At 47.6% G+C, this 24,000-nt stretch overlaps 2 long non-coding RNA genes across 3 annotated transcripts in view, besides 7 other annotated features; one reads left to right on the top strand and one right to left on the bottom strand.

The window, feature by feature from the left end:
* Positions 165–354: an enhancer, noted in NCBI's record as "active region_369". NCBI's record gives its function as "activates an Ori minimal core promoter by ATAC-STARR-seq in GM12878 lymphoblastoid cells {active_cell/tissue: GM12878}" and the evidence as "EXISTENCE:reporter gene assay evidence [ECO:0000049][PMID:35858748]".
* Positions 1,313–2,083: an enhancer, noted in NCBI's record as "H3K27ac-H3K4me1 hESC enhancer chr1:23919962-23920732 (GRCh37/hg19 assembly coordinates)". NCBI's record gives its function as "activates a minimal SCP1, AML or CMV promoter by ChIP-STARR-seq in naive H9 embryonic stem cells {active_cell/tissue: H9 hESC(naive)}" and the evidence as "EXISTENCE:reporter gene assay evidence [ECO:0000049][PMID:30033119]".
* Positions 2,084–2,855: an enhancer, noted in NCBI's record as "H3K27ac-H3K4me1 hESC enhancer chr1:23919190-23919961 (GRCh37/hg19 assembly coordinates)". NCBI's record gives its function as "activates a minimal SCP1, AML or CMV promoter by ChIP-STARR-seq in naive H9 embryonic stem cells {active_cell/tissue: H9 hESC(naive)}" and the evidence as "EXISTENCE:reporter gene assay evidence [ECO:0000049][PMID:30033119]".
* Positions 2,084–3,311: a biological region, named in NCBI's record as "MED14-independent group 3 enhancer GRCh37_chr1:23918734-23919933".
* Positions 2,112–3,311: an enhancer, noted in NCBI's record as "MED14-independent group 3 enhancer chr1:23918734-23919933 (GRCh37/hg19 assembly coordinates)". NCBI's record gives its function as "activates an origin of replication core promoter dependent on BRD2, BRD4, P300/CBP and CDK7 cofactors, and independent of MED14, by STARR-seq in HCT116 cells {active_cell/tissue: HCT116}" and the evidence as "EXISTENCE:reporter gene assay evidence [ECO:0000049][PMID:35650434]".
* Positions 2,579–2,858: an enhancer, noted in NCBI's record as "active region_368". NCBI's record gives its function as "activates an Ori minimal core promoter by ATAC-STARR-seq in GM12878 lymphoblastoid cells {active_cell/tissue: GM12878}" and the evidence as "EXISTENCE:reporter gene assay evidence [ECO:0000049][PMID:35858748]".
* On the top strand, positions 17,848–19,119 carry LOC107984928 (uncharacterized). Of its 2 annotated transcripts, none has more exons than XR_007065539.1 (2): positions 17,848–18,118; positions 18,222–19,119. It is a non-coding gene; the product is annotated as an uncharacterized LOC107984928 (long non-coding RNA). The 2 variants fall into 2 exon arrangements; XR_007065540.1 differs by having other exon boundaries at positions 17,848–18,128.
* Positions 20,709–20,798: an enhancer, noted in NCBI's record as "active region_367". NCBI's record gives its function as "activates an Ori minimal core promoter by ATAC-STARR-seq in GM12878 lymphoblastoid cells {active_cell/tissue: GM12878}" and the evidence as "EXISTENCE:reporter gene assay evidence [ECO:0000049][PMID:35858748]".
* LOC124903876 (uncharacterized) overlaps positions 21,855–24,000 on the bottom strand; it is a 33,818-nt gene continuing 31,672 nt past the window's right edge. Inside the window, exon 3 of the long non-coding RNA XR_007065537.1 lies at positions 21,855–22,808. This is a non-coding gene — a long non-coding RNA (uncharacterized LOC124903876). The remainder of the gene's footprint in view (positions 22,809–24,000) is intronic.

Genomic DNA, 24,000 nt, shown 5'->3' with positions numbered 1-24,000 from the left:
CGGGTGGAACACGAGGTCAGGAGATCGAGACCATCCTGGCTAACATGGTGAAACCCTGTCTCTGCTAAAAATACAAAAAATTAGCCAGGCGCAGTGGCGGGCGCCTGTAGTCCCAGCTATTCGGGAGGCTGAGGCAGGAGAATGGTGTGAACCCGGGAGGCGGAGCTTGCAGTGAGCCGAGATCTCGCCACTGCACTCCAGCCTGGGTGACAGAGCGAGACTCCATCTCAAAAAAAAAAAGAAAACGAAAGTTCCCTGCGAAAGGCCCTAAGTGTAGCAGGAAAGGCCTGGGAGCAGGAGGCCCCAAGTTCAAGTTTTGTCTCCTTGACTTTGCAGTTGAGCGCTGCTGGGCCTGTTTCTGCATTAATAAAATGAGGAACAAGGCCTGCTTCACAGCGTGCCCTGAGGACAGACCAGGATGAGAGGTGCATAAGGGCAGGGTTGGGGGAGGGCAGCCTACGGGAAGCAGTGTGGCGAGCCTTGATCTTGGGGCCAGCCATGCATGGTTCACCTGCCTGCTTGCTCATTAGCTGTGTGCATTGGGCACATCTTCTTTGCCTGCAGAGGCCCCAGGCTCATCCCTGTGGCTTGCTGGGGCCAGGGCCAGGGTGTACTTGACTGACTACCTTCATGGACTCAAGACACATCTGGGACACACCAGGATCTTCCATGTTCTGCTTCTTACTGAGGAGTCAGCTCACAGGGTCTGGCCAAGGTTACCTGCCTCAGCCAGAGTATGCTGAGCCAGAAGGACCCTTGGGCCACGGGATCCAAGCCCTTCATTTTACAGATGTGAGGCTCAGCCCAGAGAAGCTGAAGGACTTGTCCCAGGACTCTCAGCCAGTTGGCTTCAAAGTCAGTTCCAGAGCCCACGTCTCTTCACTGCCAGCCCAAGATCTTTCCATTCACCCAGCCATGAGGGCTGGTCCTTGTTGATCCATTTGAAGCCTGTTCCTATTCCATGATATAGTTGCCTTCAGGTACCAGATACTGGACTGGGTGCTTTGCACAACATGCCTCTTTTAATCCTCACCACGGCCTCTACAGTCACCATTTCTGTTTCATAAATAAACTGAGGCTCAGAGAGGGTGTGTGATTTGTCCAAGGTCACACAGTAAAGTAAAAATAGGTCCAGGATTCAAGTTCATACCTTCCTGTCTCAGAAGCCTCTACTTACTATTGTCCTGACCCAAGGGGAGCTCACCATCCAGAGAGGGGCAAATATGGCAATACATACTTGCAACAAAATGTGATCAATGTTATTATAGATATAGTCTCAGGCACAGTAGACAGTTTCCTGAGGTTGCCCCACTTACACCTCACAACAGTCCTTAATATAAAGTACACATTGTTATCCCCATTTCACTGATGAGCAAACTGAGGCTCAGAGAGGCAAATTCCCCTATCCGGGGTCATATAAACCCTGTCTATCTCTCTGTCTGTCTGTCTGTCTGCAGAGCTCATAGTCTGTTCTCATGAACAAATCCTGCTCCTCTAAAGTCCTGAACAAACATTGCTTCATTCAGTCAACGTGCATTTCTTGCATCCCTATTATGTGCCAAGCCCTGTCTTAGATATTCTTGGAGGTAGAGATGAATAGAACATGGCCTCTGCCCCCACCTCCAGCCAGCAAAGAGGTAGATTGGGGGACCTTGGGTCTCTACCCTGTGTCCTCTATGTGACACTGATGGAGGACCCTTGGGCACTGGCCCAGCCTTCCCCCTTCAAAATGCCCATGGGAAAGGCCGAGGGAGGGAGGCTGAGACAGCTTCAGGCCCCCGGGGCTGCCTTGTCCTCTCAGCCTGGCTCTGACTCACCACCCACACCTGGCAGTGGCCTCAGGCAGCTACGCTGGAAATAGATGGGGAGGGAGGGGACGTGACACCTGCACTCTTGGCTGCCATTCCCACCCTCCCTGCCAGGAAGCAGGGAAACATCAGCTAACAGAGCCCACCTGAAACTGCTGGGCTTGGGAATGCTCCTGGGAGTTGAAGCCCCCAGCCGACTGGAAAGGCTATCCCAAGAGCCATGAGGATTACAATAAAAATCACGATGATGTCTCGCTTTTCACAGTGCTTGGTGGTTCTTGAGCACTTGTTCTATGCCAGGCCCTGGTCCAAGTAAGTGCTTTGCATGTCTTAATTATCTTGCTGAAGTCTCACGGCTCCTCAGGAAGTTATACTGTGATTAAGCCCATTTTACAGATGAGAAACTTGAGATTCAGAGAAGCCAAATAACTTGCCTAAGGCCATGTATTAGGCAACGTGCGCCCATCCCAAGCTTCTCACCCAATCCCAGCTCACATGGCTCATTCCAGTTCACAGGTGTTAGCTGTGTTCCCATCTGCCCTGCCCAATCACCTTCCCTCTTTGACAAGGCAAGCTCACCCTTCTTACAACTCTGGGAAGCAGAAATCAAACTATTACCCTTCTCTTTCCTCCCTACCTATCTCAACCCCACCCAGCCTTCAGCCCAAGTCTGATCATGTTGCCTCCCTGTCTAAAACCTCTCCACTGCCCTTAAGGTAGTGTATTCAGCTGGGCATGGTGGCTCATGCCTGTAATTTCAGCACTCTGGGAGACTGAGGTGGGAGCATCACTTGAGGCCAGGAGTTGGATACCAGCCTAGATAACATAGTGAGGCCCCCATCTCTATAAAAATAATAAAATGATTAAAAAGATAAAATATATTCAGAGCCCTTCAAGAACTGGGCCCTGTCACTTTTCCAGCCTCATCACTCACCAGTCTCTGCCTGGGCAAGTCAGGACACCTCCCAGTCCTTGTTTTTCTGGTGGGGACGATGACACTTCCTCACAGTGAGGAGGATGGAGGGGGCAGATGTATGTGAAGTTCTTAGCAGGGCACTCACCATCTGTTTGGTGTTCAGTAAACCTTCATGTCCTGCTACTAGCTCTGAGCCAGAGGCTGGGGCAGAGTTAGTGATGTGTGAAACAGTCTATTCTCAGCCAGGCTGGGATCAAGGGCTTCATGGTGGGCCGGCCAAGAGCTATCAGTGTTACTGGAATTCATTATTTCAAGAAATGCTGAAAAGCTTCAGAGCAGCAGTAACAAACTAGAAAAAAAAAAAAGGCAAAGGAAACAAACTTTCACAACAGGCTTTTAAAAAAAATCTTTACCACAATGTAGAAGGTAGATATACCCACTCTACAGAAAGGAAAACTGAGGTCAAAAGGGTGACAATAGACGAAAGGTGTCAGGGACAAGGCCGGATCTGGAACCAGCTGTCAGGCTCCAAAGCCCATGTTCCTTCCTCTCCTGCACCCAGCCTCCCCAAGCCTGGAGGGTGGAAAGTGTTTGCTTAGGAGAGGAGGTACTAGTATATTGGGGAACGGGGGAAGAGGAGGATGAAGAGCTTGAATGGGGGCCCAGAGACAGGAACACAAGGCAGATGTGGGTGCAAGGGAGTGGAGATCAATAGCTGGGGTGAGGTCATCTATGACAAACAGAGATGCCTGGATTTGATCCTCTGAGACCTTTGAGCCCAAATCCTTCCTCCCCCTCCACTCCCCTTTCCAGATGGGGAAACCGAGGACCTGTGCCTTGCCCAGGCCTCCATAATGCCGAGGACAGTGAATGGCTGGAGGAGGCCTGAGGGACGAAAGGAGGAGGTCCCGGGTGGGCAGCAGCTGCCACCTCTCTCTGCCCGCCCTATGCCTCTCAGAACAGTGCCCCCACCCCCAGGCTTGGCCTGGTCGCCTGACTTACAGGTGGGAGTGACTCAGGCTGGGGGCCTGCCCTGGTAGCGCTGGCCCCTGGGCCACAACCGAGCTCTGGGCCTCTCAGCTGTGATGTCAGCGGGCTCTTCCTTCCTCCCGCATCTGCTTGAAAAGGTCACCTATTTTAAACTCTTTCTCACCCCACCCTGCCCTTCCCCCAAAAGAGGACGAGTTTTTCTAACCTGTGTCAACAGCTCAGTTCAATATCCAAACATCTGTCCCTCCTGGTGCCCATCACCAGCCCTCCACCATCAGAAAGCCGCAGCCCTGTCAGGCTCTTCCAGGCTGCAGAAACCCACCCTAGCAGCTGTTAGCTTCACAGACTCCTGAGCATCTGCTGAGGGCCGGACACGGCCCTAGGTGCGCAGGGATAGATCCCTGCCTTCTTAGAGCTTACATTTTAATAGAGGCAAACAGACAACAAACAAGCCAACCGGTACTGTACCAAGATCATCTCTAGGGGTGGCCAGTGCCCTAAAGAAAGTAAAACAGGACAAGAAGATAGTGACCAAGTGGCTAATTGAGTGAGTGGTCAAAGAAGGCTTCCTAAGGAGGTGACAAAGATGTGGGGAAGACATTTCAAGGCGAAGGAAAGGCAAGTGCAAAGGCGTTGAGGTTGGCCGGGCGCAGTGGCTCACGCCTGTAATCCCAGCACTTTGGGAGGCCGAGACGGGCGGATCACCTGAAGTCAGGAGTTCGAGACCAGCCTGGCCAACGTGGTGAAACCCCATCTCTACTAAAAATACAAAACTTAGCCGGGTGTGGTGGCACATGCCTGTAATCCCAGCTACTCAGGAGGCTGAGGCAGGAGAATTGCTTGAACCCGGGAGGCGGAGGTTGCAGTGAGGTGAGACCTCCCCACTGCACTCCAGCCTGGGCGACAAGAGTGAAACTCCATCTCAAAAACAAACAAAACAAAACAAACAAACAAAGGCATTGAGGTGGGAAGGGAAAGGTATGTTAGAGCAGTGGTTCTCATAGTAGGGTCCCCCAGCCAGCAGCATCAGCATCACTGGGACCTTGCTAGAAATGTCCACTTTTGGGATACACCCTAGACTTGCTAAAACTCTGAGGGTGAGACCCAGCAAGCTGAGTTTTTAACAAACCCTCCAGGCGGTTCTGATGCACCTGAAAGTTTAGGGTCAGTGAGTTAGAGCTCAGAAAGCAAGCCATGTGGCTGGAGTGTGGGAGGGTGAGGTTGATGGCAGCTGATCTTAGCGTCACTCCAGTCTGTTCATTCACAGCCCCGCCTCCTCCTCCCTGCTTCTCCATCCTGGCCCACTCATGGCAAACCTTAAAGCCCTTCTGAGGCCTCCCCATTGCCTTCTGGGTGAAATTGGAACCTCTCAGCTGGGCTTATGAGGCTCCTCAAGATCTGCTTCCATTCACATCTCCCACTTCATCCCTGGCCCTCCTCTTTCTCACAATCTTATACTCCTAAATATAGCTGCTCCATCACTTCTCCAGACACACCGTCCCCTTTATCTAGAATACTCTTTCTCTACTTCTTCATCTGGCTAATTTTAATCCATCCTTCAAAACATAACCCAGGACTCACCTCCTTCAGGAAGTCCTCCCTGGTTGCCTAATCAGGGTAAGGGACCCTGCCTCTCTGCTTACACACCAGTCAGCCCCTGTACTTCCCCATCACAGTGTTCATCAAATGGGTTTAACATTATCTAGAGGAAAAGGGAGGATTTACTTACTTTATATTAAATTACACAGATAATACATGAACATGTATTTATTGTAAAAACTTCAAACATACAGATGTAGTAAAAGACCTCCTTCTGATCCTTTTCCAATTCCACTCTCCCGCTTTCCAAGAATAACCATTGATGCTAGTTTGGTGTCTATCCACTTACACATTCTTTGGGGCATTGCACACATATACAGAAATACATAGAAATTTAAGGTTTATTTGTTCATTTTTTCCACTTGTAAATGGAATCATATGGGTAAGTATTGTTCCACAACTTCTTTTTTCTACTTAATGTCTTGGCCAGGCACAGTGGCTCACGCCTATAATCCCAGCACTTTGAGAGGCCGAGACAGGCAGATCACTCGAGCCCAGGAGTTTGAGATCAGCCTGGCCAAATAGCGAGATCTTGTCTCTACAAAAAAAGAAAATTAGCCAGGCGTGGTAGCTGAAGCAGGAGGATTGCTTGAGCCTGGGCAGTCAAGCCTGCAGTGAGCTGTGATTGCACTGCTGCACTCCAGCCTGTGTAACAGAGCAAGACCCCCTCTCAGAAACAAACAAACAAACAAACAACAAAAAGCCTTAATGTCTTGGAGGTCATCTGTGTAAGTAAGTAGACCTACCTTACTATTTTTACCTACCTCATAGTATTCCAAAGTATGAACATAATGTCGTTTTCCAATCATTCCCTGAATGTATGAATCATGTTTTTTATTTTCTGTATTTTACAATGCTTTGACATCTGGGGCCTTGCTAATCCTGGAGAGATGGCCTCTCCCAGGCTAGCTAATTCCTAGAGATGGTAAACAACTTGCCTGTGAACATGCCTTTCATATACTAACTAACCACTCTCACACACCAAGCCAATATCTCCCCTGCCCTACATCACCCCAGGGTCAGGTACTAGACAACTAGAGACCATACCTAGAGCCTAGAGCCTGCTAACAGTACTCAAACTGTCCAGTCCTAAACTTGCTCAAACTTGCCTACCCTACCTCGCCCATTCCTTTCCGCAAAAACCGCACTAAAGGCTCTGGGCCATGCTCTCTTTGCATCCCTGCCTTCTGACCGACCCCAGAGATTCCCCATGTGGCCCTGCGTGACACAGTGTGCCTGCCTCGCCCCCGCTTGGGAACTGTAAGGAGTAAAACTTTTTCAATGGCCTTGACCTCGTTGCATCATCATCTCTCTAAATTAAATCCTAGCCACCATTAGAACCCTGAATGATGGGCATGTAGAGGGTCTGAACTTTTCTGTTATAGAAAAGCTGCAGCTGTCATCTTGGTAATGCGTATGCGTATTTCCCTAGGAGAGGAACTGTAAGGTGGTAATTACCTAATTATTTATTCATCTCTATGAGTGCAATGCCCCCTCCCAAGCCCAGCCTCTGCTCCCCCTGCCCTGTCGGTTTCACGGCCATTGAATCACAGAATGATGGAGCCAGCCACAGGGCTGGCCTCTGCTCTGATAAGCACGACAGACACTCCACAGCAAAACACCTTCCCCATCATCAGTCAACCCTGTTCCCCCAGTTTCCTCCCATTTGAGTCTTAGCATCACCTGGTCAAGAGAGATTTCCATTGGAAAGTAGAACATATCAGCCAGAAAGTCAGTGTGAGCTCCATCAGGGGGATACTGCATAGAAAAAACATGGATTTGGGGATCAAAAGACCTGGGGCAGGTGACTTCACCTCTCTGGTTTCTGTGTGACCTGGGGCAAGTGACTTCACCTCTCTGGTTTCCTCACCTCCCAGAGGGACTGTCAGAATATATGTAATACATATAACAATAATATATGTAAATCCTCCCAAGGCACAAAACAAAACAAAACAGAAACAAGGCATGCCGTGTATTCTGCCTTTGCCCCTCCAGAGCAGCCCCTTCTTCTCTACCTGGGGAAGCATCTGGGCTTCCCTGGCCTCTGGCTTTCACTTGGGTCTGGCTTGCACTTGGGTTTGGCCAATGGAAGCAATGGCAAAAAACTGGGGTCTCAAGGAAGAGCAAGTGTTGGGGGAGTGGATTGTCCTGGCTCCTTCTTTCCTGCTGGGCTGGTTGGCTGTGTTGAGTCCCTCTCCACAGCTCCTATCTTGCAGCTACAGCCTTCACCACCCCTTCCCTTCCTGCCTTCAGGATAATGGTGCCAGGACTTCCTGCTGCTACTAGTCCCTGGGTGCCCCCTTACTCCTCCCTTTATAGATAAGTCCCTTCATTCAGCTCTCTCCGGAGGCTCCTTTGAGTGAGCCACCTATTGGATGGCTGGAACCTTGACTGATACAAGGAGCCAGTAGCCAATTTCCCTTTTTTTGGGGTAGAGATGGGATTTCACCATGTCACCATGTTACCTGGCTGGGTCTTGAACTCCTGGGCTCAAGTGAGGCCTCAGCCTCCCAAAGTGCTGGGATTACAGGTGTGAGACACCACGCCCAGCACCGGTTTTCCTATTTTTATCAAAGTGCTTTCTCTGTCCCTCACCGCAGCTGCAAAAGGAAGGTTCCTATACTCCAAAGGCTAGATCACTCATGGAGACCATCTCCAGAGGTATGAAATTGGAAGGAGAGGCCTGAGAGAAGAGTCTTTGAAGAGCTGCCTGTACCAGCTGAGCCCCACAAGCAGCAGCCCTCAGCAAGGCCCTGATGCCCCAATCCTCCTCCTGAACTTTGCAAGATCAAAGTCTTTTTTGCCCAACCTGCTTCCAACAGCCCAGGTGTCCTGACTCTGGGACACCAACTCACACAAGTTAACCCATCCGAGACCAACCAATATACAAGAAACTGGTACATTAATGGATCCTGAGAGAGTTAGAGGCTGAGCAACAGGAATTCTGAGGTCAGCTGATCAGGGGGGTCTCTTTCAGGAATTAGTAGTAATAATAACAGTGATGTGATGGCCGGGTGCGGTGGCTCACACCTGGAATCTCAACACTGAGAGGCCAAGATGAATGAGTTGCTTGTGTCCAAGAGTTTGAGCCCAGCCTGGGAAACATGGTAAAACCCTGTCTCTACAAAAAATACAAAAATTAGCCGGACATGATGGTGCACTCCTGTAGTCCTAGCTACTCAAGAGGCTGAGGCAGGAGGATCGCTTGAACCTGAGAGGTTGAGGCTATAGTGAGCCATGATCACACCACTGTATTCCAGCCTGGCTGACAGAGCGAGATCCTGTCTCAAAAAAAAAGTCCAAGGCGGGTGGATCATCTGAGGTCAGGACTTAGAGACCAGCCTGGCCAACATGATGAAACCCTGTCTCTACTAAAAATAGAAAAATTAGTGATGGCATGCACCTCTAATCCCAGCTACTTGGGAGGCTGAAGCAGGGGAATTGCTTGAGCCTGGGAGGCGGAGGTTGTAGTGAGCTGAGATTGCACCAATGCACTCCAGTCTGGGCGACAGAGTGAGACCCTGTCTCAAAAAAAAAAAAAAGTGATCAGATACTGAGTATCTACTATGTGCCAGACACTGTACTAGGACTTTTATTCATTTGCTTGGCAGTTATTTATTAAGGGTCTACTATTTGCCAAGTACCATTCTAGGCAGGCCCTGGGATATAGCAATGAACACAATAGACAATTCCTTCTTGGAGGATATTGGAGCTGTCATCCTGTGCAAGAGCCCTAGAAGGGCTGGGTGCCGTGGATCACACCTGTAATCTCGCACTTTGGGAGGCCAAGGTGGGTGGATCACGAGGTCAGGTGTTCGAGACCAGCCTGGCCAACATGGTGAAACCCTGTCTCTATTTGTAAAAATACAAAAATTATCTGGGCATGGTGGCGGGCGCCTGTAATCCCAGCTACTCGGGAGGCTGAGGCAGGAGAATCGTTTGAACCCGGGAGGCGGAGGTTGCAGTGAGCTGAGATCACACCATTGGACTCCAGCCTGGCTGACAGGGTGAGACTCCGTCTCAAAAAAAAAAAAAAAAAAAAAAGCCCTAGAAGGTGAGCATCTGCAGCCCTAATTAATCCTTGAATATGGATTTAATATGGAGATCCAGAAAGTGGCCAAGGGTACCAGCCGGTAAGTGACTGAGTCAGGATTTGAACCCAGACCTGCCAGGCTTCTCAGCTGGAGCCATCACCTTAGAGGAACTACAGGAGGATCAGGAGGTAGCTCGGGAAGAGCCAGAGCCAATCCTCAAGAGAGAGAGAACCTGAGAGCCGGGTGCTTTGAGCCAGGGATGGTGGTGCAAGGTTCGCATCTGTATTCCAGACGCCTGCCATGACTAAAATGTAGGATCAAGGGCTCAGGGTGACACAGCCAGAGAAGGACGCTCTGTAAAAGATGCTCCTAGTTATTCCTTTGTAATTTCCTTTTTGACGTAAAATTTGTGAGTCACAGTCTCAGAACTTGTCTAGATTTCACAATCCATGATTGCAGATGCTATCGTGTGTCATGCCAGCATATTTTCAAGTCATTATCCACCTTCCCCCAGCCCCTGGGCCGTCAAGGATTTATTTTGGAAGGTTGGAGAGAGCAAGGCAGGGAAAGCACAAGACTTCATGTGCCACTCAAAGGGCAGTCATGTCAAGGGTCTTGAACACCCTAAATAACCTGGTCAGAGCTCCCTCTCTCCAAACAGAAGCAGACATCCTCTTCATTGTGCACCTACTATGGGCAGACTGTCTAGAGGACCAGGCAAAGCTGCGCAATGGCTAAAACCATGGGTCCCAGATTGACTGAATTCAAGGTGGAGCTCTGCCACTTTCTAGCTGTGTGACCTCAGGCAAGTCAATTCACCTCTCTGCATCTCAATTTCCTTATTTGTAAAACAATAAATCGTGGTTAAAAAAATTGTAAAATTGTCCAGGCGCGGTGGCTTATGCCTGTAATCCCAGCACTTTGGGAGGCTGAGGCAGATGGATCACGAGGTCAAGAGATCGAGACCTTCCTGGCCAACATGGTAAAACCCCCTCTCTACTAAAAATACAAAAATTAGCTGGGCGTGGTGGTGCCCACTGGTAGTCCCAGCTACTCGGGAGGCTGAAGCAGGAGAATTGCTTGAACCCGGGAGGCAGAGGTTGCAGTGAGCCGAGATCACACCACTGCACTCCAGCCTGGTGAAACAGGGAGACTCTGTCTCAAAAAAAAAAAGGGGGGTGTGTGTGGTGGCTCACGCCTGTAATCCCAGCACTTTGGGAGGCCGAGGTAGGTGGATCACGAGGTCAGGAGGTTGAGACCATCCCGGCTAACACGGTGAAACCCTGTCTCTACCAAAAAAATACAAAAAAATTAGCCGGGCATGGTGGCGGGCACCTGTAGTTCCAGCTACTCGGGAGGCTGAGGCAGGAGAATGGCGTGAACCCCGGAGGCAGAGCTTGCAGTGAGCTGAGATCGCGCCACTGGACTCCAGCCTGGGTGACAGAGTGAGACTCCGTCTCAAAAAAAAAAAAAAATTGTAAAATTGAGGCTGGGCACAGTGGCTCATGCCTGTAATCCCAGCACTTTGAGAGGCCAAGGTGGATGGGTCATTTGAGCTCAGGAGTTCAAGACCAGTCTAGGCAACATGGCAAAACCCCATCTCTACCAAAAATACAAAAAAATTAGCCAGGCATGGTGGCACACGCCTGTAGTCCCAGCTACTCGGAGGCTGAGGTGGGAGGATCACTTGAGCCTGAGAGCCAGAGGTTACAGTGAGCCAAGATGGTGCCACTGCACTCCAGCCTGGGTAACAGAGTAAGACCCTGTCTCAAAAGAAAAAAAATCGTAAAATTGAAAAATATCAGTGCCTACCTTACAAGATTGCTGTGAGAATTAAATGAAGCAAAACATCGAAATGCCTAGAAGAGGACACTGCATATTACCAGTGTGCAAAAAATGTTAATAGTTATTACCATCATTAAACTCAAGTGGAGAAACAGACACATGATCCATATACATTACATACATTTCCAAAAATTCAATTGTAATGCAAATAAACACTCATGGTTATCAGTTTTGTCCTTCACATGTTGCTATTTTAGCATTAACATTTAGTATTAATAAGTTAGGTGTTTGCTCATTGAGGTCTCAGTTCAAATATTGCCTATTTTTTTAGAGACAAGGTCTTACTCTGTTGCCCAGGCTGGAGTACAGTGGCACAATCATAGCTCACTGTAACCTCAAACTCCTGGACTCAAGTGATCCTCCTGCCCTAGCCTCCCAAGTAGGTAGAACTACAAGCATGTACCACCACACCTGGCTAATTTTTGTAGAGATGGGGTCTCACTATGTTGCCCAGGCTGGTCTCAAGCTCTTGGCCTCAAGTGATCCTTCCACCTCAGCTCCCACCTAGTAATCCCAACATGCTGTGATTACCAGCATGAGCCACTATGCCTGGCCCCAAATATCACCTCTTTAGAGCATTCTCTCCAACTGCCCAATCTAATCAGAAATATCCTCTGATTACTCTTTTTATTTTAATAATAGAATTTATTCTCTGATATTTTCTTATTGATTTCTTTGATTACTTGTGTATTATTGGTCTTTCCCATAAAAATATAGGTTTCCATGAGAGCAAGAGCCTGACATCCTGATTCTGTTTTGGTTCCCAAAGCCACACACATTGCCTGGGACATAGTAGTTGTTTTCAAAATGTTTGTTGAAAGAACAACTAATAAGTTAGGTCCTCTCAGTACTCCTCTTCAGGCACCAGTTTTTTGTTGTTGTTTTTGAGACAGTCTCTATTACCCGGGCTGGAATGCAGTGGTGCGATCTCAGCTCACTGCTACCTCTGCCTCCCAAATTCAAGCAATTCTCCTGTCTTGGCCTCCCGAGTAGCTGGGGTTACAGGCACATGCTTGTAGCACACCGGCTAATTTTTGTATTTTTATTAGAGACGGGACTTTGCCATGTTAGCCAGGCTGGTCTCAAACTCCTTACCTTGAGTAATCCGCCCACCTCAGCCTCCCAAAGTGCTGCAATTACAGGCGTCAGCCACCACACCAGGCCTATGTACCGGTATTATCTTTTGACAGAGGAAGGTAACTGAGGCTCAGTGAGGTGAGATGATTGCATGTTTAGCTTCAGGCTCAGTTTTCTGTCACTGAGTTGGATTCACTTTGCCTCTGAGCTGTGCCTCCCGGAGTGACAGAAGTAAGGTGGTGATTGCCAGGTGTGAGAATCAGAGTTGTCTGCCCCCCACCCCACACCTGGTACCAAATGATGTAGAAACAGAATCTGGTATAGCAGGAGGCCTGGTTCCTGATTCTGACACTGATTCACTGGGTGGCTGCAAATGAGCCCCCCCTCCTCACTTGGCCTCAGTCTCCCATCTAGAAAATGAAATGAGTAGAATAGTTTGGAGCGTTTTTTTAAACTGGGATTTAATTCCCATATGCATAAGATCAGAGGTTTTTTGAACTTTCTTTTGTCACAGTCTTTTTTTCCCAAATTAAATTTGATATGAAGACTCAATTCATAAACAAGATAAAAAGTGGGGCTGTGGCCGGGCACAGTGGCTCACGCCTGTAATCCCAGCACTTTGGGAGGCCAAGGTGGGCAGATCACAAGGTCAGGAGATCTAGACCATCCTGGCCAACACGGTGAAACCCTGTCTCTATTACAAAAAAAAAAAAAAAAAAAAATAGCCATGCATGGTGGTGGGCACCTGTAGTCCCAGCTACTCAGGAGGCTGAGGCAGGAGAATGGTGTCAACCCGGGAGGCAGAGCTTGCAGTGAGCCAAGATCGTGCTACTGCTCTCTAGCCTGGGTGATAGAGCGAGACTCAGTCTAAAAAAATATAATAATAAGTGGGGCTGTTAGGCAGGTACAGTGGCTTACACCTGTAATTCCAGCATTTTGGGAGGCCCAGGTGGGAAGATCACTGGAGCAAGAGTTCGAGCCCAGCCTGAGCAATATGAGGAGACCCCGTCCATACAAAAATAAAAATAAAAAATTAGCTGATCATTGTGGCATGTACCTGTAGTCCCAGCTACTCAGGAGGCTGAGGTTGGAGGATTGCTTGATCCCAGGAGGTCGAGGCTGCAATAAACCCAGATCATGCCACTGTACTTCAGCCTGAGTGACAGAGTAAGACCCCATCTCAAAAAAAAAAAAAAAAAAAAAAAAAAAAGCTGCTTTGGAGAGTGAAGGGAGTGGCATTAGAATTGAGCCTGCTGCCGGGTATGGTGGCTCACGCCTGTAATCCCAGCACTTTGGGAGGCCGAGGTGGGTGGATCACAAGGTCAGGAGATCGAGACCATCCTGGCTAACATGGTGAAACCCCGTCTCTACTAAAAAATACAAAAAATTAGCCGGGCGTGGTGGCACGCGCCTGTAGTTCCAGCTACTTGGGAGGCTGAGGCAGGAGAATGGCATGAACCCGGGAGGCAGAGCTTGCAGTGAGCTGAGATCACGCCACTGCAATCCAGCCTGGGCGACAGAGACTCCATCTCAAAAAAAAAAAAAAAAAAAAAAGAATTGAGCCTTCTTAGGGTGCCCCTTGCTTCCACCACGCGCCACCTCCTTACCTTCAGGGGTCCCTGGGGCACTAATACCCCAGGGCTTAGAGGAACCCAGTTTGAAAACCACTGGACAAGAGTCACTCTTCACAGTCCCTCCCAAGGTGTGGGAGCCCTGGGGAGGAATGAAGGGCCTCTGCTGTCCCAACTTGCAGATGAGCGTTGCTTTCTGAGCTGCAGCCCAGCTGCCTCCCGAGGGTCATGAGAAAGAAGGCAAGGGCAGGCTCAGGGCGCAGGAAGTGGAGCCGGCCAGCTGGGAGGCAGTAACAGGCGCTGGTACTGTGGCCTCCTGGATGGGCCGGTGACATCACAACCCCAGGAAGCAGCTGCCCAAGAGGCCTGCGCTGTCCCTCATTCCTCCTCTGGGAAAATCAGTCCCCAGCTGTTGCCGTCCTCTGTGTACTGGCTTACTCTTCCTGGATTGTCCCCTCCTGAACCAGCATCTTCAGCAGTAGCATCTTCAGAGAGAAGCCTCCCCTATGTGCTGGAACTGTGCTACCCTCTGTGGCACAGCTCGTAACAGCATGCTTTTAAAATTATCGTTTAATTTAATCATCACATCAACATCAAGTAGGGACCAGTACCATTCCCATTTTGCAAACTATGAGAGGCTCAGAAGTGCAAGACAGATCACACAGTTTCACCCAGCTGGTAAACACCAGAGCCAGGCTTTGAACCTTGTCCTGTCTGACTCCAATATTCATGAGTTTTCTTGAGTTACCACATGGTCAGATTCAAAGCAAAAACACGAGGTGGAGGTTGCTTCTTATGTGGCAATGTGAAGCTGTCAATTTCAAACACAGTTTCTTTGTTAATGGCGTTCCTGGCCTATTATCATCCAAGCGGAGTCTTAGGATGCGATAAAGGGCTTAGCACACTGTCTGGCACTCTACAAATGCAGCTTTACTCTGGCTCTCCCCTTTACAAAGGAAGAAACTGAGGCTCAGGGGAGCAAAGTCAAGACCATAGGACAGGCAGGTGCCAACCCCAGGTCTGTCAGGCCCCAGAGTGGAAGCTGTTTCCCCAAAACCCTGAATTTCATAGGCGGGAAAGTCCTGCTCACCTTCTGTGCTCATCTCGTAGGGTTGCTGTTACAAACTACCACAAACTCAGTGGCTTAAAACAATAGAAATTTGTTCTCTCACAGTTCTAGAGGCCAGCAGTCCAAAAGCAGGTGTCGCCAGGGTGGGGTTACCCTGAAGGCTCTGAGGGGGAATCTGCTCCATGCCCCTCTGCTAGCTTCTACAGGTGGCCTTAACATGCCTTGGTTTGAGGCTTCATAAGTCCAATTTCGGCCTCCATCTTCAATTGTACTTCTTCTCACTGTGTCTCTGTGTCTTAAATCTTACTTTCCTTTCTCTCTCTTTTTTTTTTCTTTTTGAGATGGAATCTCGCTCTGTCACCCAGGCTGGAGTGCAGTGGCACCATCTCGGCTCACTGCAACCTCCACCTCCTGATTTCAAGCAATTCTCCTGCCTCAGCCTCCTGAGTAGCTGGGATTACAGGCTTGCACCACCACGTCCGGCTAATTTTTGTATTTTTAGTAGAGATGGGGTTTCACTATGTTAGCCAGGCTGGTCTCAAACTCCTGACCTCATGATCCGCCCATCTCGGCCTCCCAAAGTGCTGTGATTACAGATGTGAGCCACCGTGCCTGGTCTCCTTTCTCTTATAAGCACATCAGTCCTTGGATTTAGGTCCCACCAAAAATACAGGATATCATTTCAAGATCCTTAATTCTATCTTTAGATACCCTATTTCCAAATAAGGTCCCATTCACAGGTACTGGGTATTAAAATTTAACACATATCTGGCCGGGCACAGTGGCTCACGCCTGTAATCCCAACACTTTGGGAAGCCGAGGCAGGTGGATCACATGGTCAGGAGATCTAGACCATCCTGGCTAACACGGTGAAACCCCGTCTCTACTAAAAATACAAAAACTTAGCCAGGCATGGTGGCCGGCGCCTGTAGTCCCAGCTACTCAGGAGGCTGAGGCAGGAGTATGGTGTGAACTCGGGAGTCAGAGCTTGCAGTGAGCCGAGATCGCACCACTGCACTCCAGCCTGGGCAACAGAGCAAGACTCTATCTAAAAAAAAAAAAAAAAAAAAAAAAAAAAATTAACACATATCTTTTGGGGAACATCACTACTCAACCTATTGTTATCACCACCACCACCACCACTACCACCCTGGCTCAGCAAATCTTCACTGAGCATGAGCAGTGTGCCAGCCAGGGGCACAGCAGTCATACTACATTAGTGCTGCCTATGGTCTAGTGGGAAAGGTAGACAAGGCACAGGTAATGGTGGGGTGATGATTTTTTTTATTTGAGATGGGGTCTCACTCTGTCACCCAGGCTGGAGTACAGTGGCACAATCTTCGCTCAATGCAGCCTCCACCTTTTGGGCTCAAATGATCCTCCCACCTCAGCCTCCCCAGTAGCTGAGACCACAGATGTGCACTACCAGGCCTGGCTAATTTTTCATTTTTTTGTAGAGATGGGGTTTTGCCATGTTGCTCAGGCTGATGTCGAACTCCTGAGTTCAAGCAATCTACCCGCCTCAGCCTCCCCAAAGTGTTGGGACTATAGGCGTGAGTCACCACGCCTGATGCAGAGTGGTTTCTAAACTAACTGTAGAAATACAAATATGGGCTCACAACGGAGAGAACAGGTAATATTGCCTGAGATGGGATAAAGCAGGGAGCACAGTATATGTCCTATTAATTAATCAAGACACTTCAGGGAAATCTATTTGCAGAAAAAAGCAACAGAGAAGAAGAGAAAGTCTGAACTTCAACTTTTAAGACAGAAAGCCCTCAAATGCAGACTTTACCTGTCTGTGCCTCAGTTCTCTTATCTGTAAAATGGGAATACTAATAGAATTGGTCTCATAGGGTTATTGTTAGGTTTAAGCCAAATCACTGAAGCATTCGTTGAACAAATATTTATTGAACATCTTCTACATACCAGGCACATTATATACAGTAAAGAGCTAGCAAAATGCCCGTCACCAATAAAACACTTAATAAATGTCAGTGCCTGTCCTCTTTCCCCCAATTCATAAGTTAGATAAAACTTCAGGACAGAAGTACAAGAGAGATCATAAGGCAGGACAGGCTAAAGGCCAAGTCAAGAGCATGAGATATGTGTGTTTAGAGAACAGCGAGGATGTGGCCAGATGGGTCTGCGAATGCTTCCTGGAGGAAGTGGGCTTTGCATCAGAACTTGGAGGATACACAAGGAGAGGAGGGAGGACTCCATGCAGCAATGATGGCATAAACAAAAACTGGGGCAAGGAAATTAGATAAGAAACATGTTTGATCCAGACACTGACCCTTTCTGTAAGATTCTGGATTTTTGGAGGGCAAATGAAGCAACAGTGAAAGTTCAAGATTTTCTAAATCTAAAACAAAATCAAGGGTAAGTACAGATGAAAATGTACTTAACCGTATCACAAGCATTTGCATTTCTTTCAATTTTGCTCCAACTTTGGTATCACTTTTTATGCAGGGCATTTCCCATAGGGAATAGTTCCATGTGTTTCTACTATGTATATTTAGATTGTCTGCTTTTCCTGTTCAATGTGGCTCCTGAAGGCAGGGGCTGTATTTTATCGCCAGTACATTGCTGGTGCTTGGCATATAGTGAGCACTCAGTAAGCATTTCATCGAATGAATTACTTTTATATTTCTATTTTACATAAAAGCATGAAATTTTGAATTTGTGCTAAAATTCTTAATCCTGGCCTAGGGCAAGTATAATATTGATATGTATAAGGAAAGCCAGGCAGGATTGTTTAGCTGGAGACAGCTTCTAGAATGACCAGCCCAGGATCCAGTAGGACTTGCTGGAGCCACACAGAGGCCTTGCTAAACTAAAATTATGAATTCGCAGGCTGTGCTACGAACCCATTAGGCTATGTTGCTTTAAACTCGGGTCAGCCAACCAAAAGGTGGATGCAAAAGACTTTCTTTAAACAAGCCAGCAGCTTGAGGCTTGAAATAGAACAGAAAGGGAATTCACAGGACTCAACCTTGTCTTCTGTCTGGAGCTCTTGAGACCCAAGGATACTGGCCAGGCGAACCACACTGCGATAAGAAACAGCAGCTGAAAGTTTGTTTTTGGAGCCACCAGATCCAGTGGGTGGACTGTGTCTTGAAATAGAAGCATCTCAAAGGCCTGTGAATCATTTCTTAGTGCCGGCCTGCAAGGTTTCATATCCTGTTCTCAGAGCTACCTTGGGTGCTGTATGTATATGTATGTGTGTGTATTGTTTTCAGGGTTGTTTGCCTAGGATTTGGTTTTGAAACTTTTACTTTCTTTTAATAGCTTTTTTTTTTTTTTTTTAAGCTGGAAGAATTTTTCAAATGGTTTTTGCGAGAAAGTTCAAACCCTGGAATGACTAAGTCGCTGGAAGAATTTGGACTTTGTGAGGGGAATTTGCACTTGGTATGAATCACCCAGTCACTGATTCCTGCAGTGAGAAGACCTTTCGGAAAGCTTCTGGGTCAGCCCCCTCGTACACATGGGGAAACCGAGGCTCAAGGAGGGGAAGGACTTCAGCCAAGGTCCCACAGCATGTCTGTGGAAATGACAGGACTGGAATCAGGTCTAGCTCCTGGAACAGCTTTGGATTTGCAAGAAGCTCTCAAGCACCCAGTCTCCATAGGTGGGCACATTTTCCAAACAGTAGAGGAACAGAAAGAACAAGAGGGTTCTGAGGAGTTAGAACTCACCATAGAGTTATGGAAGGAATGGGGAAGGGATTGCCGGAAGGTATTTTATATGAAATAGCTCATTTAATCCTCCCCAGGATCCTATTAGGCAGTGGTTCTAAACTAGGGTTGATTTTGCCCCCAGAGGACATTTGGCAAGATCAGGGGACATTTTAGGTTTGTCACAGCTTGAGTGGGAGTTGCTACTGGCATCTCTTGGCAGTGAATACCCTATGTGGTAGAGGCCAGGGATACCGCTAAACATCCTGCAATGCACAGGACAGCCTCACAACAAAGAATTATCCAGCCCAAAATGTCAATAGTGTTGGGTCTGAGAAGCCCTGCTATGCAGAGGGCGCTTGTATATACATATCAATTTAACAGCCAAGAAAGCCGAGGCTCAGAAAGTGTAGCCACTCGCTAGCCACGTGGTCTTGGGCAAATTAGCCTCTCTGTGTCTCAGTTTCCTTATCTGTAAAATGGAGGCAACAGTACCTCTGTTACCTAAATAAACATTTGTAAAGCACTTAGAATGGTGCCTGGCACATAGTGTTACATGAATGTTTGCTAAAAATATATAAACAAGCTTACCCAGGAAACACGGAAAGTAAAAGAATTGTAATGAAAGCCCAGGTGAAAAAAATCTAAAGAGACTTAAGGACATGGGGGCTGGAATATGAGAGACCTCCTGGGGGTGTACAGCCCTGTGAGCAGGTAAGGCTGTCCACCGTGTGACATCCTATGTTCCCTGCCACCCCCCACCACCAGTAGCCATGAGGTTTTCCTTCTCAGACACTGCTACCTTAAATGCACTTCATCTTTTTAGGTTAAAATGATATGCACTTCAACATGAATCTCCTTGGCAAGTATCTGACACAGTAAGCCACTATCAGTCACTAAGAATAATTCAGGATAAATTAGTTTTTCAGTTGCCTCCCAACAAATAGGCCGAATGCAGGTTATACTGAGAGTGGAAGGTAAACAGAGGCTGACAGCTTAGTGTTCAGAGGCAGGCTTAGGACAGTGCTGGCAGGTGCACAGTTGTCCTCAGCAATCCTAGACCATCAGTCATTCCCCTACCAGCCAGCACCACCTAGAACAGGCCTCAAGTCTGGGCCCTGCCTAGCTTTGCACCCCCTTTCAGAACCTGCTCCTGACCCTCCCCCACCTTCAGCTCTCCTGGTCTTTTTACTCAGTCTGGGGCCTATTCCCTACTTTCCCACTTTGACCTCTAATCCTGTCCTCAGTCAGAGCCCAGATTCCTCCACCAGCTGCTGAGACCTGCCAACTTGCTAAGTGATTGCCCTACTCAATGCTGAAGGCCTGACATATCAGCCCGGCTCTCTCAGCAAGCCCCAGGGCTGTGAAGGAAACTGGGCAGAGGGTGTCACAAGAGTGGAGGGAGAAAAAACCAAAGCAAGGGTCACCCATATCTCTACTCTGCCCAGAACCCGCCTGCTACGCCTATTCATTAGAACATTCATGGCCATTTACCGAGCTCTTTAAGCTATGAGTCTTGCACACTTACAACAGCTCTCACAGCTGTGCCCCACTCCCCCATCCCTGGAGACCTACAAGGGCCCATATTAACTGTATTACTTCTCTATTGCTGCTATAACAAAATGACTACAAACTTAGTCACTTAAAACAACTTAAGTTTATGCTCTCAAACCAACCTGATCTCACTGGGCTAAAATCAGGGTGTTTGCAGGGACTTCCCTTTCGGAGAATCTGGAAGATAATTGATTTCCTTGCCTTTTCCAGCTTCTGGAGGCTGCCAACATTCCTTGGGTTGTGACCCCTTCCTTCATTTTCAAAGCCAGCAACATGGCATCTCTCTGACCCTGTTTTCGTGGTTGCCTCTCTTTCTCTGACTCTTTTCTGCTGCCCTCTCCCACTTTTAAGGACCCTTCTGATTCCATTGGACCCACCTAGATAATCCTGCATAGCAACCTTCATTCCATCTGCAAACTTAATTCCCACTTGCCGTGTAACAGTACATTCACAAATTATAGGGATTAGGACACAGACATCTTTGGAGGTGACTATGATCCTGCCTACCATGTTAACCAACCCAGAGTGGCGGGGACCATACAACCCAGAGAGCTTGTGCTCCTTCTCAAGGGAGCAACTGCTGCTCAGCTCCAGCTGTCATCATCATGCATCAGTATGGGTTCAGTGTGGCTGAGTCTGCCAATATTTCAAGTGAAATCAGAAAATTGGACTTTCAGGTGAAGATTTCCAATTCTGACATCACTGTGCAGACCAAAAAAGAACAAAAAATCTCATAGGCTAGATATAGCCTGAAGCCACCCAGGTGTGACCTCTGGGTCCACCTCTACCACATCAGCTGTGTGAGATGATGAGATTTCTCTGGCATTTACAGGCTCTGCAGGTTCTGGGGGATGGAGAACCAGTCAGGCCTAGAGGCCAGAGAGAATGTGGTCAGGAGCATAGCGGGTACTGAAGGGGGTGCCTCAGGGGAAAGTTCAGAGGGAGAAGGGACTGACCATCTCCCTAAGGGACTAACCATCACCTGCAGGAAGCAGCAGTGCCTCAAAGGGTACAGGAAATCAGGCTGAGGCCGACCTGAAGAAATCAACCAGAGTAAGGTGGGCTTTATGGCTTGTGACCTCAGAACAAATCAAGCACACTCTTTCTACTTTCAAAAAGTATCAGTTCTTCCCCTCCCCACAAAACTAGCAACATTGGCTGACTGTGAGAAGAGGATGGCAGGGGCCGGGGTGAGAAGGAGGCCTTTCACTTTATGCCTCTCGAGCTTTTTGAGTTTTTAACCAGGTGAAAGTATTACCTACTTAAAACATTAAATTCAAAAGCTTTTATTCATTTAAAAATATTTTAAAATACAATCGATTACATTAGAGGTAAAAACACAAAAGTAGTTGTCATGGTGATGCTACTGCACTTCCATGAAGATGGTATGTGTGGTCATATAACAGGATGGTTTAGAAATGGTGAAATCTTCATACATTTGGCTAATTACTCCGGACCCATCGCCTGTCATTCAAACTGATGGCTGCTTTTCCTTATCCTTACATGCCAGCACTTGAATAAACCAGGTTGGTGTCTTTTGGAGTTCTTTTCCATTCTGACTGGCACAAAGCTAAGGCTCTGGAGTCAGTCGGCTTGCCTCTTCCATGCTGTGTGACCTTGAACAACATGCTTAGCCTCTCTGAGCCTGTTTCCTCATCTGTATAATGGCTTCATAGGCTTTTTATGAAGATAAATGAGTTAATGTGTATAAAGCACTTGAAACAGCACAAAATCAGTGCCCATAAATGTTGACACTTATTATTAACTATTTTCATTATTCTTTTAATCTTGTTTATTTTTGAGTGGGGGGATTATTAAAACCATAACTTAAGACATGTAACAAAACATAAGTAACGTAGGTGAACTAAAATGAAGCGAATTTAACCTCTGGTCCCCCAAATCCTTACAAGCGCCCTCTTAACAGGAGTATCATTGTCTATTTCATAGATAGAAAAACTGAAGCTTGGGGAAAGTGAGTGAGTTGCTCTAGGACACTGAGTTTGGAAATAGAAAAGATAGGAGCTTGAACCGCGTTTTCAAGACTCCAGATCCCATGGCTTTCAACTCGAGGCTGTCCTACAGTATGATTATAAAGTAACAGGTGCTCCTTCCTTATTTGGTCCAAAAGAAAAAAAAATTGCAGGGCTCAGAGGGGAACTTGGCTTTTTGATTTGTTCAGTTTGGGGTCAGCCCTTCCTTGCTCCTGGCCCCAGATTCAGTAGATTCCAGGGTGGGGGGGTCAGGTCAGCAGGTCTCTGGCTTATATTCTGGCCTCAGCTTTGGAGCCAAGTTATTCTCTCCCCTGGGAGGGAGTCAGGGTTGGGGAGGGGGTGTCAGAGCCTGGAGACTGCTGTGGATGTCCCTGGCCCAGCTGTGGCCTGAGCTTTCTCACCAGGAGGCTTTCCCAGCATCCCCACTCTTCCCCAGGCCTTCTGCCATCTCTCCCAATTCTCACCATCCAAGAAGTAGTTGTTGCAGCTTGAAAACATGGCTGCTAGCAAACTTGTGGGTTAAATGCCCCAGGAAGATGGAGCGCACTGCCCAAGCAATTTCCAGGAAGCAGGACAGCCCAGAGGTCAGGAACACTTTGCAGTTTTGAAATTTGGCTCTTTTGCTTCTAGCTCTTCGGTCTTAGGCGGGTGGCTTCACCTTTCTGATGCTTCCGCAACTGTGAAATGGGATGATAATAGTATCTGTCACAAAAGTTGTTTGGAAGCCTGGGCAGCATAGAGAGACCCTGTCTCTACAAATAAGTACAAAAAAATTGGGCCGGGCGCAGTGGTCTATAATCCTATAATCACAGCACTTTGGGAGGACCAGGCAGGCAGATCACGAGGTCAGGAAATCGAGACCATCCTAGCTAACATGGTGAAACCCCGTCTCTACTAAAAATACAAAAAAATTAGCTGGGTATGGTGGTGGGCGCCTGTAATCCCAGCTATTCAGGAGGCTGAGGCAGGAGAATGGTGTGAACCCAGGAGGCGGAGCTTGCAGTGAGCCGAGATTGCACCACTGCACTCCAGCCTGGGCGACAGAGTGAGACTTCATCTCAAAAAAAAAAAAAAAAATTTGCCAGCTGTGGTGGCATGTACCTGTGGTTCCAGCTACTCGGGAGGCTGAGGCAGGAGGATTGCCTAAGCATGAAGGTTGAGGCTGCAGTGAGCCATGATCAGGCCACTGCACTCCAGCCTGGGCAACAGAGCAAGACCCTGTCTCCAAAAAAAAAAAAAAAAAAGTTGTTGGGAGAATTTTTAAAAAGAGATTTATTGGTGTTTAATTTACATACTAGAAAATTCACCAATATTTATGTATATAATTCAATGATTTTTAGCACATTTACAGAGTCGTGCAACCATCACATCAATTCCAGAATACTTTCATCACCCCCACATAAAACCCTGTATCCATTAGCAGTCACTCCCCTTCTGTCCCCCAGTCCCAGGCAACCATTAATCTACTTTCTGTCTCTATAAATTTTTAGAAATTTATAGAAATTTCTTTTAGAAATTTCACATAAATGGAACTGCACAGTATGTGGTCCTTTGTGTCTTGCTCCTTTCATGTAAGCATATTTTTTGAGGTCCATCTATTTATTGTGTAGATTAGTAGTTCATTCCTTTTTTATAGCTGAATAATATTCCATTGTATGAATACACCACATTTTGTTGATCCATTCATCAGCTGATGGCCATTTGAGTCATTTCCACTTTTTTGCTATCATGAACAATGCTGCTGTGAACATCCCTGTATGAGTTTCTGGGTAGACTTGTTTTCATTTCTCTTGGGTAGAGATCTAGGAGAAGAACTGCTAGGTCATGTGATAAATTGCTGTTTAACTTTTTTTTTTTTTTTGAGACGGA

This window comes from Homo sapiens, chromosome 1 (assembly GCF_000001405.40).
Source record: "Homo sapiens chromosome 1, GRCh38.p14 Primary Assembly".
NCBI classification, from domain to species: Eukaryota; Metazoa; Chordata; class Mammalia; order Primates; family Hominidae; genus Homo; species Homo sapiens.
This window is presented reverse-complemented; position numbering and strand designations above follow the sequence as displayed.